The sequence below is a fragment of the Homo sapiens genome, chromosome 12 (assembly GCF_000001405.40).
Source record: "Homo sapiens chromosome 12, GRCh38.p14 Primary Assembly".
Lineage (NCBI taxonomy): Eukaryota > Metazoa > Chordata > Mammalia > Primates > Hominidae > Homo > Homo sapiens.
This window is the reverse complement of record NC_000012.12, coordinates 93934838-93949548: the sequence shown is the minus strand read 5'-3', so window position 1 is coordinate 93949548 and position 14711 is coordinate 93934838. Positions and strand designations below refer to the sequence as shown.

The following is a 14711-nucleotide window of genomic DNA, read 5'->3' as shown; positions in this document are numbered from 1 at the left end:
ACCTTGATCTTGTATTTCTCAGCCTCCAAAATTGTGAATAATAAACTTCTCTTCTTTACAAATCATCGAGGCTTAGATGTTTTATTATAGTAGCACAAATTGTTTAATTGTTATAGTAGCCCAAATGGTTTAAGGCAATCAGGGTTTGATTTTAGGCTTTATTGGGTAAGTCTAAAGTTGTTCTTACTCTAGGGCTAGAATAGCCCTACTTCTAACATTTGGTCATTATAATGGTCAACTAATTGCTGTGGATTTTTAGTGAAGTCTTTACCCTCTGGTTTATCAAAACTGGAATATCTTGAACCCCTTATTCAGCTCATACTCTACTAGTAGTTGTTCTCTATCAGAGAACCCTGAACACATGCAGCTTAGTACTCAGCTAGACTCAAGGAAACCCATATGCAAAATTTGGGACTTTCTCCTCTCAAGTATCCTACTTTGAAAATTCCAAGCAGCCTCAGCATTTCTGAACTCTGATCTCTCTTTACTTTGCCCAGAAAAACACTTTATTCTCTTTGGGTTCCACCTCCCTTTGCCTTTATTTGCAATGTGCCCCTAGTTAATTTACTTTTTTTCTTATAAATTGAATTTTCATGGAGATGAATGGGAAGCTCTTTGTGTGTTTTTCTCCTCTCAAGAATTATATTCCTCTATTGTCTGTTTTATAATGCCTGGAAACCACTTCTTCATATGTTGTGTCCGACATTACACTTGGACACAAAAATACATTAAAGTGAGAAGACAAGTCTGGTATCTATTTTTCTCTCATGGCCGGAATTAGAAGTTGTATCCAGTAAGTCTTTGTGCTGCTGTAAGACACCAGAAATGTCTAAGGTTCCTAGGGGAGGAATGGCTGGGAGGACAAGAGAAGGAAGAAACCTAATTGTTTAGGCTCCAAAATTTCAACACTGGAAGACCTTGAGAACAACAGTTTACAAAGAAGGAGCTTGAATTTGCATATAAATACCACTTTTGCATAAAAAGTCAACAATATGTCTATTGACTATTTGAAAAGTGGGAGCATGGTTGTTGATGGATAATAGGAAAGAGGTAAAGCCATTTTAAGCCCCATTAGCCTACAACGAGTCACTAAACACCTATGTTTCCTTAGCATGGTGGGCTGGAGGTAGAGGGGGAGTTTTGATTTATTAAAGAAAATAAAACTATGTGATCTTTCTTGTACACAGAATTTGGGGGTAAGTCTCAAGAACTTCTTTCATCCTTTAAAGAAACTCTCCATAAGGGCAATTAGTCAAGTGAGTTTCTTTGCTGTGGCCATTTATCCTTATGAGATACTTAGCTCTAATCTTCATTAGAAAATTAAAGGAATTACTAAAACTATAAAATCCTACCAAAATACTCCTGCAAACTCTTGAAAATCACACTAGCAACGATTAAGAAGAGGGTTTCTTCTCTCAATGTAAAGCTATGAAACAAAAACATTGAAGGAATTACATTTTCTCTAGTGCACTTAGAATAATGAAGACGATACAAGTGAGAATAACCTCTCTATAACACATATTTATCCATTTGCAACAACTATCCTGCTGATAATTATGATAAAATACATTTTGAAAACCATTAGCTAAGCATCCTCTTCATAATTTATAAAACATAATTAATTTTTTCATCTTTAAAGGAGAATAAATTCTATTTGAAGGCACATACGATCTTATGATCGTAGTCCCGATCATGTTTTTGAGTTCCTTGAAGACAAAGAAATCCACTCTGACTCATTTCAGCAGTAAAATGAGTTTATTTCAAAAAGAATTAAACAGCTGAAGGGCTCCAAGGGAGGCCCAGAGACAAAAGATTAGAGGCTAGCAGACAGGAACAGTGCCCCAACCTGTGCTGCAGAGCTGCTCAGTGAAGTCATCATTGCCCCCTGCTTGGGACAGCCACCAGAGCTGGCCCTATCACTGCTGCTTTAATGAACAGAATGTCTCTGCCTTTATCCTTGCCAGATGGACTCTGTGCACCATCACTAGTGTAAGGAGGAAAAAATTAATTTTTTCTCTCCCCTTTCTGAGCTCTTGGTTGGAATGGACTGCTGTAACAAAATGAGAGAAAAACAAAGTTTAATAACATGTATACCTCATGTATGTACACATGGGAGATATTCAGGTGTAGGGTCAAAGAAGGAAAGCTTCCCCTTCGCCCTCCGAAGGTTCACTGAAAGTGAACTGATAAGAAGGAGATTAGTAGGAGCAAAAGAATACAAATTTAATTTTAAAATGCACAAGGGAAAATCACAGGAGAGTGATTACCCAAATACCTAATGAGGTCCAGATGATTACACACCCTTCTTCATAAGGGGGAGAGGAGGGATGGAAAATGGTAGGAATTTCTTTTGAGGAGTAGTAAAATGTTTCTTAGGGAAAATGAATGAACCAAGGGACAGAAATTAGCTTGTAAATGATTGTCTTCAAAATTAGATATTATCTTGTGAAGAAGTTCATCCAGATGTAGATTCTTCAGTCTTCTACCTATGATAGATAATCAAATTCAGGGAAGGGTAATGGAAGGTGATTGTATTCTATTTGGCAGGGCTGGTCTTAAGGTAAATAAGTCAATATCAGTGTGAAGTATCTCCCAGCATTTTACTTTAATTTTTTACAATCAGCATATCAGAATGCCATACTGTGGTGTGAAATTCCCTGGGATCCTTCAGGGGGAATGCTATAGTTTGAATGTGTATTGCCTCCAAACCTCATGTTGAAATTTGATCCCAATGTTGGAGGTAGGGATTAATGGGAGGTGTTTGAGTCATGGGGTAGATCCCTCATGAATGGCTTGGTGCCATCTTTGTCATAATAAGTGAGTTCTTGCTCATTAGTTCCCTCGAGAACTGGTTGTTAAAAAGAGCCTGGTACCTCCCCCACCCCCATTGCTTCCTCCCTCACCATGTGATTTCTGCACGTGCCAGCTTCCCTTCCCCTTCCACCATGAGTTGAAGCAGCCTGAGACCCTCACCAGAAGCAAGTGCTGGTGCCATGCTTCTTGTGCAGCCTGCAGAACTGTGAGCCAAACAAACCTCTTTTCTTTATGAATTACCCAGCCTCAGGTATTCCTTTATAGCAACATAAATGAAATAATACAGGAAATATCTCAAAGCTTTTGAATAAATCTCAGAAGTATCATAGCTTTGACTTCAAGCTTAAATACTATTCTCTGAAACAAAGAAAGTTCCTACCCAGTTAGAGGGAGGAAAAGCACCTTAAACAAGGGTAACTATACAAAAAAAAAACCTTACTTGTGTTTAAGTTGCCTTCTCTATTGATAAGAGTTTTTAGTAACTTAGACTCATTCTTTTTCTTCTACAGAGATGAGACACCCTTACGATGGAGATTTCCTTTATAGATGCAAATTTCTCTTACAAAAGCTTAACTTCTACTCTGTTTTCAGAGCTTCTCCTGTGTCTACTGTCTCCCCAAATAATCAGCTCAAAGTGATCCTTATTTTAAAGAGGCATATTTGGGGTACACATTCTGGCCACCTACAGCCATATTTTGGGGTGAAATAGTCTCATCTCCTACATAATATTCTAAACAAATGTAGGACAGATGTATCTGACTGATGGACCTAGATCCCATTGCTGTATTCTTACTACATAGGAGGCTAGGAAAATGAGATTTTGGTTTTTATGCTAGGGAGGAATGCATTCACAAGGTGAGAAATCACCTCAAATGCAAGGACAGATAAAATAATGGATAAATAAATAAGAGTAGGAAGGAAGAACCTTAAAAATTATTAGATGAACTTCCTCGATTTACCAATTTAAGGAAATAAAGACACATAAGATGGAAACGATTTACCCCAAATCTACTCCTTCTCATGCCAGATAAGGCCTTTTCCAACTTGCAGGAATGACAAATACCTCAGACACTCCTTTGTTCCACTTTCACAGAAGACACCTCTAATGTAGAGTATCATGAAGAGTATCTTCATGATACTCTTTCTCATGAAGCCCAGATTTGGACTCAGTCTTTTTCAATACAGCCCACTGAGCAGCTATAACCACAATTAGCACTAGAGATGGAAACAATTTGCCAGCCCTGTACTGTAGCAGGCTGACATTCACTCAACAAAATCTTGAATGAATTAATGAATAGAGAATAAAGTCTCATATAATTAACACCCTTGGAGTCCACAAAGGATCTTTTAGGTAGTTTGTTAGATGATCTCCTTGAGAATTAATATTTATTATGCCCAGTTGTCTCTATTTTGGCTACTGGCACAAATTCATAATTTGTTTACAACAGTTAATAAACAATCAAGCTTCAACTCATTGTTGCACTGCCAGCAATCACACCCATCTCCCCATTCATTCGTATGAAGATGTTTTACTTTTCAAGTGTCAAAGTGGGTAGAATTTGAGCTTGGGAGATGTTTCTTCCTGGCATGGGAGATTGTAACTACATGATGCTGCTGGACTCCTGCCATTTCCTTTTGGAAGTGGGTTGATGGCAAACCAACTCTGGCTTCTATCCCTGCTGAAATTCAGTGGGGTTTAACTACACTGCCTTAGTGTGTATCTAATCCAAAGATGACATCGGACTGGCCCCTTGCTTAGATAATCCAGAGAATGTAATACATTGGTATAAAGTAGTTAAGGGTTTTGTTTTTTTAAGAAATAAGTTTTGCTTTTGAATACAAGTGACAGAATTTCTTGAGGAAAAAAATAAGGAATTTTACTGTCTCATTGACAAATCATTGATGAGCAGAGCTAGCTTCAGCCAGTTCCAAGGACTCATACAAGGCCACCTCTGGACTTTGCCTTCTTTCATGTTGGGCCTTGTCCTCAGGCTTCACATAGTAGCTTCTGGAAGCTTCAAATTTACTCTTCTAGGTTCAAATTCAGTGGAATAGATGGCACTTCTTGGTGGCTTCTATGTAAGTATTAGTATTTCCTCCAACGGAAAAACCTGAATACAGAAATTAGCCAGGCATGGTAGTGCACACCTGTAATCCCAGCTACTCTGAGGCGGGCACAAGAATCGCTTGAGCCCATGAAGCATAGGTTGCAGCAGTGAGCTGAGATGATGCCACTGCCCTCCAGCCTGGGTGACAGAGCAAGACAAAGAAAAGAAAAAGAAACAACTTGGTTCATGTGAACATTCCAGAACCAACTACTGTGGCTTGAGTGATTCAGTGCCCTAATTGGCCATGTCTAGATTACATATCCCGTCCTGGATCTGAGGTTGGAACAATACCGTTACATCTAAAAACAGTGAATGTCCACCACGAGGGCGTATTCAAACACTGTCCGGCAGGGAATAGATGGCACACTCAAAGGAGCAATTGAAGAGAGTTTTACGAAGGGAAACAGACAAAGGATAGAGAAGCATGTAGGGCTGGGAACAGGGGGACACTAGTTCCAACCCCCTAGGGCTGAAGGTGAATGATGAAGGAGCTGTTGTGGGAACGGAGTGAGAGGTGTAGCCATGGGTATGGGCCACCAGGCAGAGCTGTGACCAGATATAGACGAGCACAGCCACTGCCACAGCCCAGCCCAGAAGGGAGGGTGTAGAGTGACAACATTTCTCCACCCCTCTCTCCTCCCAACTTCTGATTCATTTCTCATGCTTCTGATTACCCAAGCCTAACCAGGAGCCAGAAGGCAAGGAGCCTGGGTATCATAGTCTGCAGAGGGCAGCCTCTTGGAATAAAGGGCAGGGTAGAAGGAGTCTGTGGATTTGATCTGAAAGGCAACAAAATAACTAGCACACTTTGTTCCTGTAAATCAGGGGTTGGCAAACTCTTGCCTGTAAAGGTGGAAAGGGAGTGATCCCTCTCCTCCCCATCATAAGGGCCACAGCCAACACTCCTTTAACAAAAGATAGGTTAACAAGAGAAACTCATAACAAATTTCTTTAAACATAGTTTTATGTGACATGGGATCCTTCAGAGTGAAGACAAAAATACATGGGGAAAACTGTCCATTTTTATGCTGGGGTTTGATGAAGAATGGACAGCTGTGTAGGCCTGCAACTGGATAAAAAGGGTAAGAGCTAATGGGAATAGACTGAGTGGGGAGACCCAGCAAGGCCTGTCTTTTCAGGTTCTTCCTGGCCTCTCTGTGCAGCATTGCTTCTTTCTGGATATGGGACAGGACGCTTTCTGGATATGGGACAGGACGCTTTCTGGAATGGGAGGCTTATGACCTACAATCAGACAAGGCAGGTCAGAGAAGTTCTTTTCTTTTGAGACAGAGTCTTGCTCTGTCGCCAGGCTAGAGTGCTGTGGTGCGATCTTGGCTCACTGCAACCTCCAACTCCCTGGTTCAAGGGATTCTCCTGCCTCCGCCTCCCGAGTAGCTGGGATTATAGGCATGCACCACCATGCCTGGCTAATTTTTGTATTTTTTTAGTAGAGATGGGGTTTCACTATGTTGGCCAGGATGGTCTCGATCTCCTGACCTCGTGATCCACCTGCCTTGGCCTCCCAAAGTGCTGGGATTACAGGAGTGAGCCACCGCACCGGCCCAGGTCAGAGAGTTTCTTCATGGCCAACTCCCACACAAAAAGGGAGGGAGAAAGTTAGAGTAATATTGTTAGGTTTTGCGGCTGGCTTTGGAGAAGGGGTTCTGGTTTCTGTGACCTGCCTTGGGGAAGAGGAATTCTTATTTCTATGGCTAGCCTCAGGGAGAATGAGAGGCGAGAGACAGGAGGGCAGGAGAAGGTCCAAAAGAGACTTTACTTCTGAGGCTGTTTCTGAGGCCTTCACACTGGGGATCATTTTCTGAGCCTCAGCAGACTCATGGGCCAAATGTGGCCCACCACCTGTTTCTATAAGAAAAATTTTATTGGAACACATCCAATAAGCAAATTCTTGTTTATTCATTGTCTGTGGTTGTGTCTGCACTACAACAGCAAAGTTAGGTAGTTGTGATAGGAACCATATGGCCCATGAAACTTAAAATATTTACTCTCTGGAGCTATACAAAAAAGGTTCACTGACCCCTGGCCTAGGCCAACACAGCCACTGTGCCTGACACACAGATGGTATGTAAATGAGGTACTAAAACTAAATGAATGACCTAAAGCCTTGGTGACAGTCACAATGTGAATGAACTTAAGCTTCAACCCCAGGAGATCATTGCAATTGCAAGGCCCTCAAGCCATTTCCCTTTATTCCAGAATTGCTTGTGTGGCTTACTCCCTTCCTCTGTAACTACTGCTACAGTCCAACTGCCACTGTCCCTCTTGATCTCTGCTGCTGCTGTGTCCTCTTGGTTCAGTTGATATGGTCATTTTCTTTGGCTGCCATGAATATCAGTGTTTTCCCTGCCAAGGCCCTGGAATTTAGGAGAGGGTGTACTCCTAAGAGATTATAATGCCTTTTTGACTTCCAAATGGGAGACTGCTCTTTCCTTTTTATCTCCCTTCTTTGGGTTACTTGGGATAAGAATCTCAGAGACTAAGGGGACACTGTATAGCATCATCAAGTATTATCTCCAAAAGCTCTCTTCCTTGCCCTGTTAACCAAAGTCCCAGTGTAGAGCGCAGGCACTTGGATTTTTTCATCTCTCAGGAGTTCCTTGTTTACCCAGGGTACTCCTCATTGAACTTGGGATGCTCTTTACTTTTGTTCAGGGGGTTAATTCTGGCAGTGCAGCTCCACATTCCGTTTATTTACTCATGACTTCATTCATTCAACATGATGTCTTCCAGGAAGCCACCAACAGTGCAATCTTGGCTCACCGCAATCTCCACCTCCCGGGTTCAAGCAATTCTCCTGCCTCAGCCTCCTGAGTAGCTGGGATTACAGCCATGCGCCACCATGCCTGGCTAATTTTGTATTTTTAGTAGAGATAGAGTTTTTCCATGTTGGTCAGGGTGGTCTCAATCTCCCAACCTCAGGTGATCCATCTGCCTTGGCCTCCCAAAGTGCTGAGATTACAGCCATGAGGCACCACACCCGGCCAACAGCTACCTTTAATAGAAGCCCAACAGTCATCTTAATACTGCACAGTTTTTGAGATACGAGGCAGACTGGTCCCTACTTTATGCCTTGATTATGATCACTGCCCTAGATTTTGATCACAGTGTATAAAAACAGCCAGGTTACATCAGTAACCACATGAATATGACATAGTGACCAATAAAACTTAGCCCAGATTAATCCAACACAGTGATGTGCATAGTCATTGCACTTTATGGTAATCAGGTATAGATGGAACAGAAATATTGTAATGCTAGTTTTCACGCAACCCTAACAGGGGTCAGAAGAAGAGAGGAGATAGACAACTAGGAGAAGCTGAAAAAAATGCTCTGGGTCATTTTTTAAAGACTTCTGATAATATTTAGAGATGTGGGGCCAGTTGGTGTAACTGGAGAGATGAGAATGCTATAAAATGGAAAGAAATCAGAAGGAAGAGAAGTTGGGCATAAAAAGTAGCTTGGAGCCCAAACACCAATGTTGTCCATATTGCCCCTCGCCTAGGGCTGATGAAAGTCTCCAGATCTGGAGAGGAAGAAAAGGAAGATTAGAAAGAAAGGAGCAAGGTGCCTCCAGAGGGATTCTCAGGAGGAGGACAGATGCCGGGCAGTGCACTGGAGGTAGTTTTGGCCAAACACCTGCCATGGGCACAGTGTCGTAAAAAATATACTGCTACTGAAGAAACAACTGTCTCTCAACATCTGTGAAATGGAAATCAAGCCCCTACTATTGGCAAGGAACCCCTACTCACTCATCTTATTCAAGTGGAGAACCCTATTTCAATTCCTCAACTGAAAGCCATCAAGTTTGTGGATGGATAATGGAAAGGGAAAATGGCTTTGTAGATAGATTCTCTGATTGCCTAGTGTGTATGTGAGCATGTACATCTCGGACAGGACTGGTAAAAGTCTGTGTATTATGCACACACAGACACATACACTTTTACCAGTCCTCTCCAGGGATTCTTCAAAAACACAAATCCACTCATGCTAGCGTCCTCTCTAAAGTTTCCCAACGATTTCCCATTGTTCCTAGATAAACTAATGTGGCTTCCAGGGCCCTGTGTGACCTGCCTACTGCATCCCTCTCAGTACTAGCATCTTCACAATATCATCTTATATTCTGTCTTTCACCCAGACTGAACTGCCACTCACTTCCTGTTGGGAACCATGCCCTCCCTTATCTCATTTCTTTGTGACCCACTCTTCCATGGCCCAGACTTCACTCGTTAACTTCTGCTTGTCCCCCAGGTGTTCGTTCACTGAGGTGTTCTGGATGTCTGGGCCAGGTTAAATCTCCCTTTATGGGCCTTCCACTGTGTGTCTACGCTCTTGGTTGTAACACTCACTACAATTTAAGGCAATTGCTTACACAGTTGCCTGTCTTCCCAGCTGGTCTAGATGCGGGCAGGGACCTTGTCTGTTTTCACTCATCTCTGCGTCCCCAGCATCGAGCACATGTCTGGCATAGAGAAGACACTAAAGTAAACTCATTGACCCATTGAATGAGGCTCACTAGAGAGGAAAAGAAAAATCACCATCCTCGTTACTCACACCCACCTCATTTCTTGGCACAAGTGCAGGTTGTTAGCTGGGTAGCTTGTTTTCTCAGAAGCAGAACAGTATTTTTATGATAATAATATAAACTCCAAATGTCCATTTTTTGATATTTAAAGATAAATCTCACCCTATAGTATACGAAATAAGGATTTCCTTTGATCCATTTGCTGCCTGGCTCTGAAGTGCTGTGATCTTTTCCAGTCCTTGACAAACGAATCTGAATCTGTATTATGCAACTACTAAACTGATCATAATTTTCTGTGCCCAGAACAATAAACTAACAGATGTTTGGAAAGAGCATTAGAGGAAATGAAAAATAATTTATAGGAATACAATGGAGCCAATAGTTTAGTACCCCCAAAATAATAATCTCTAAGAACATAAAAATAATTGCTTCCTACTACAAAAAAAAAAAAAACTTTAAATGCTACTTTCTAAAAAATATATACCTGTTAGAAACAGAGAGAAGCTGAACTTCTGTCTCATTACTACCCATATTCTGTGTGATTTATTCCATTCATTTTTCTGACAATGCCCTTCAAACTCTGTAGGTTCACTGGGGCCCCTTTAAGCCCTCAGAGCTCTCTGTCTTATCAACAAGGATTTCCTTCTTTAACTGACATAGACTCAATGCCTTAATTAAATACTCTACCTCAACTAGATTTTCTTTTCTCAAAATGTTTTATTGTTTTAATTCATAGAACTATAAAACTTTTTAGCTGGCATGCCCTTGGAGCAGTCATCTTCAATATTTAGCCCAATTTTTGTTAATATATAAAACCAGTCTGGGTTCATCTGAGTCCTCAATATTTCGGCTCATGTGTCTGATACAACAATGAGATGTGTGGATTGCGTGACTTGGAACAAATGTGCTCTAAGGGATATGGGTGTGTTGTCAAGCCAAGGCTAATGAAGGATTGCAGAGCTTCCAGAATGTGGGAAACCTCTGACTCTGGGGTATATAAGAGAGTATGGTCAGGGCTGTAAACCATTCCATTCAAAGAACCCATGAAGTAGTGAAGCTGGTCAGCTATTGAGCCATAACTGTGGATAATTTTATGGTAACTGGGAGACACTGTTGTATTACAGTCAGCATTGTACTTAGTGACTGCTGACATTTTTGTATTGTTTTCAGTCTTTTAAAGTTTTCAATAGTGCTATCCACATTCTTTTATTTGAAAGTGTGCTGCAAGCACTAGAAGAATGAGAATCACCATCTTAGTAAGGGGTCAAGCCCCCAGTCCCCTCTTAAGGCTAAGGAAACTAAAGTTATAGAAGGAGAAGGTATTTGAGGCTGAGTAACCCAGCTTGCTTAAGGTCCATATGGTCAAGACTAGAATTCAGTCCTCACAACCCTCAAGACCTTTTTCTACTATGCCTTATTTCTACTCTTGAGTTGATAAACCTAGGTCACCAGGGTTTAAAATGAGCAGGAAAAACAAAATCTGTTAAAACAGATAGGGACTGATGTGGTTTGGTTCTGTGTCTCCACCCAAATCTGATATCCAGTTGTAGTCCCCACGTGTCAGGGGAGGTGGTTGGATCATGGGGCAGTTTCCCCGATGCTGTCCTCATGATAGTGAGTGGGTTCTCTGAAGAGCTGATGGTTTTAAAGTGTTGCATTTTCTTGTTCTCTCTCTCTCTTTCTGTCTCTCTCCTGCCACCTTATGAAGAAGGTACCTGCTTCTCCTTTTCCTTCTGCCATGATCGCAAGTTTCCTGATGCCTCCCCAGCCATGCAGAACTATGAGTCAATTAAACCGCTGTGGTTTATAAATTACCTGGTCTCAGGTAATATCTTTATAGCAGTGTGAGAACGGATGATACAGGGGTTTAACAGACCCCCTCAGCAGACCCCTGCCTGCACTGAGCTTGTGTCTCCATTTGGCTGTCTAGAGCGTTGTACATCCTCTCTTTCAAGAGCGATCAAATTCACGAAGACCAAACCTGTCTAAATATTTGCACTGAGAGTTGGACATCTTGTAGAGATAAGCACAACTTAAGTTGCTTTTCTTTGTTGTTATCACATCATGGGACTCTTGCACAATGCATGATGGCTCTCCATTAACAAGGGTGAGCAGGAAAGAGCAGGGCACTTCGGATATTTGGGATTCTGCAAGACAGGAACGGAGAGTTGAAGAAATTCACGTGGTTATGGCACCCGACCTCTGAGGGGAATAGCAGGAAGCACATTTTAGAGCACCCATGTTGACCTCAGGTGTCCTACCTGCAGGCCTTGGTAATATAAGGGAATCCAAATCAGCAGATCAATGGAACCAGTGGGAATCCAGGTGAAAGTGGTGTTAAAGGCAGTTGGGAATTCATGGTGTGATTCTGAATGATACTTTCATTCACAGCAAATCTGCAGCCCCTGGTTGAGAAAGGGGAGTAGCAAGTATCCAGCCCCAGGGAAGAGGCCTGGGACTATGTAGGCAAAAGTCAGGCACTCATCTAAGCAGTCTGGTGTTTTGCAAAGAAATCCAGTTCCAGCAAGATTGTTGGGAGGTGAAATGCAGTTGTAAGACAAGCCCGATAGGAAGTGGCCAGTGGGACCCTGTGCCTCAGTGGGCATGTGAGGCACTGAGGACACAATGGAGGTCTCTGTGGGATGAAGATGTTCATTATACATAATACTTGGTTAAAATTTTTATTCAAAGATTCAATAATTTATGCTTTAGAGTGAAGAAATAACCCAAGAATGTCTACATGTCTAAGACAAACAAAAAATGGTTTTATCAGAATTCCCAGTCAAGACATCATGTACCAGGTCTCTACGTCCCTCCAGTCTCATCTGTCATAAATGTTTGACCTCCCCACCCTCTGAACCCCTAACTTCACCTCCTTAGTTGACCACAGAAAACAGGTTGTAGGCCCTGTTTTCATTTATTGCCACCAGCCTTTTTGTGCTCTTCTTTCTCCCTGAAATGCCCTTCCCTTCCCCTCTGTGGTTCTGATGGTCTGGTGGACCCTGTTGTTAATGCTTCCACTTCCCACCCAAATGGAGTTCATTCCTCCCATCTTTATCCCACTATTCTATTTCTTGATTAATGTAATTATGACTGGGCTGATATTCAGCCATTGGGCACCACGTTGGCAGCACTGATTGTAAAATTACAGAAACACTTCTGGGAGAGTTGATAAAAGGCTGCTGTCCCAAGACCTCCACATGCCTCCTTTCTGTTCCTCCCACTCCAGCCAGTTCCAGGCCTCCCCAGGATGTAGTCACTGAAGGATTAATGCTGGGAGCAGCAGGACCCTCCCCAGCACCCTGGCCAAGGTCTTCTGTTGCTCTTACCTAGTCTTGGAAATTCTCAAGTGTGAATCAGAACAACCAGGCTCTAATTTGTACTTGCACTGAACTTTGGGCAAATCCCTTAGTTTCTCTGAGTCTTAGTTTTCTCATCTGTAAGATGGAGATGGATGCCTACCTTGCAGGACTTCCAGTGAGGTCGCTGGGTTGATGGGCATATATGCTTCAGCTTTTAGTAGCAGTATGTGATAATTTTGAGTGATATTCAGCTGAGCAAGGATGCCGAGAAAAATCCCAGATGAAAGAAGCAAGGCCTGACCAGCACTAACCTGAACAATTTGGGCTGACAGACTGTGGCTTTCCAGCCTTGTTATGGCCAGTGGTTAAAGGAAGGGAGGGTAGGGTAAGTTCTAGTTTCCCAAGGACAATGTAGTGGCCTAAATCACTTCTTTTGTGACTTTACTTGTCCAACTCTCCCCGGGCATGTGAGGAAATCTAGTTTATATCACCTTTGTTTTTTCCATAAAGCTCTTGAATGGGTGTGTGTGCTTGGTGGCTGCAGTCTTCTGAGAACCCAAGTTTCTTGGAAGTTCTTAAGAGTCCAGGCACTATTCCCTGGAAAATGTGTGTTTCCTGGGGATTATTAGAAGCTTAAACCTTCGGTCAAAGTTAAGCATCTAGAAAATTGTTCCTGGAAAGTGTTGTCAACACCTTCTTAATTGGCTGCCTTGGCATTGTCTCAAGGCTGTGATCTCTACCTCAGATCCTGGACCAATATCAAACCTTCCTCTACCAAGACAGTTGCCTTCTGGGACAGAAAATAAGTACAAACCTCTGGTCTGCATTTCCAACTCGAGGAAATAAAAGGAGCCTAGCTGGGAGGAGTCACATAAATCATACTTACATTGCTGGTAGAAAGTACATTTCTCTCTAGATTATTGCGCTCAAGGGCTTTCCTTTTCTCCCCCCTTTCCTTCGCCTCCACTCCATCCCCACAGTGAGGGTGAGAGATAAGAAAACTTGGTTCTTCATGGATGGACACCTTTGTTCTGGGCTTTAGAGGGCAAAGTCTAGATCCAGGGAAGTGCCTGTGTGTTTGCATCTACATAAGCAAAGGCTTCAACAGCAGGACTTAGGTACAAGCAACACCTAAGGGACACCATAGCCTCTCTTAGAAAGCTCTTTCCTCCTTTATGTTTGATTAGAGCAAATGTCATTCTACTTTTCACCTCCTCCAGATATGTGCCTGTTGCCACCTTGGTGCCAGTTAACTCCCTAGGAGTAATACAGGAGCTACAGTCCTGTAAGCACAACTCGAGGGACTCCATTCTAAAATTGTAGCTGGTGTTCTTTTGCTTTCCTGCTTTTTCATTTCCTCCTATGGCCCTTCCACTCTTCGAATGAGGCCATTTTGAGTTTTTGCCTTGCAATCACCCAAACAGGTTCATTTCACCCACTGCCCAAATAGAGCTAATTTATCAAGACAGGGGAATTGCAATAGAGAGTTTAATTCATGCAGAGACAACTGAACAGGAGACTGGAGTTTTATTACTCAAATCAGTGTCCCCAAAAATTCAGAGGCTAGGGTTTTTCAAGAATAGTTTGGCAGGCCAGGGAATGGGTGCTGCTGATTGGCTGGGGATGCAATCATAGGGGTGTGGAGAATGGTCCTTGTGGGTGCTAAGTCTGGACCCTGGGTGGGGGCCACAGGAGCAGTTGGCAGGTCCAGGTGGAGCCATCAGTCATCAGAAATGCAAAAACCTGAGAAGACATCTCAAAAGGCCAAACTTAGATTCTACAAGAGTGATGTTATCTGCAGGAGTAATTGGGGAAGTTGCAAAACTTGTGACCTCTGGAATTAACGGCTGGTAATCATTTACACCTTAGCAGAATTCAGGTTCCTCTCATCCTCCTAACTTTGTGGTCTTTCACTAACTTTACAAAGGTGGTTTAGTACTGGGG

The 14711-nt window shown here is 42.4% G+C and overlaps 1 long non-coding RNA gene across 1 annotated transcript in view; it reads left to right on the top strand.

Moving 5' to 3' along the window:
- Positions 1-5942: 5942 nt before the first annotated feature.
- Positions 5943-14711, top strand: part of LOC105369911 (uncharacterized) — a 48642-nt gene continuing 39873 nt past the window's right edge. The window contains exon 1 of the long non-coding RNA NR_135017.1: positions 5943-6004. This is a non-coding gene — a long non-coding RNA (uncharacterized LOC105369911). The remainder of the gene's footprint in view (positions 6005-14711) is intronic.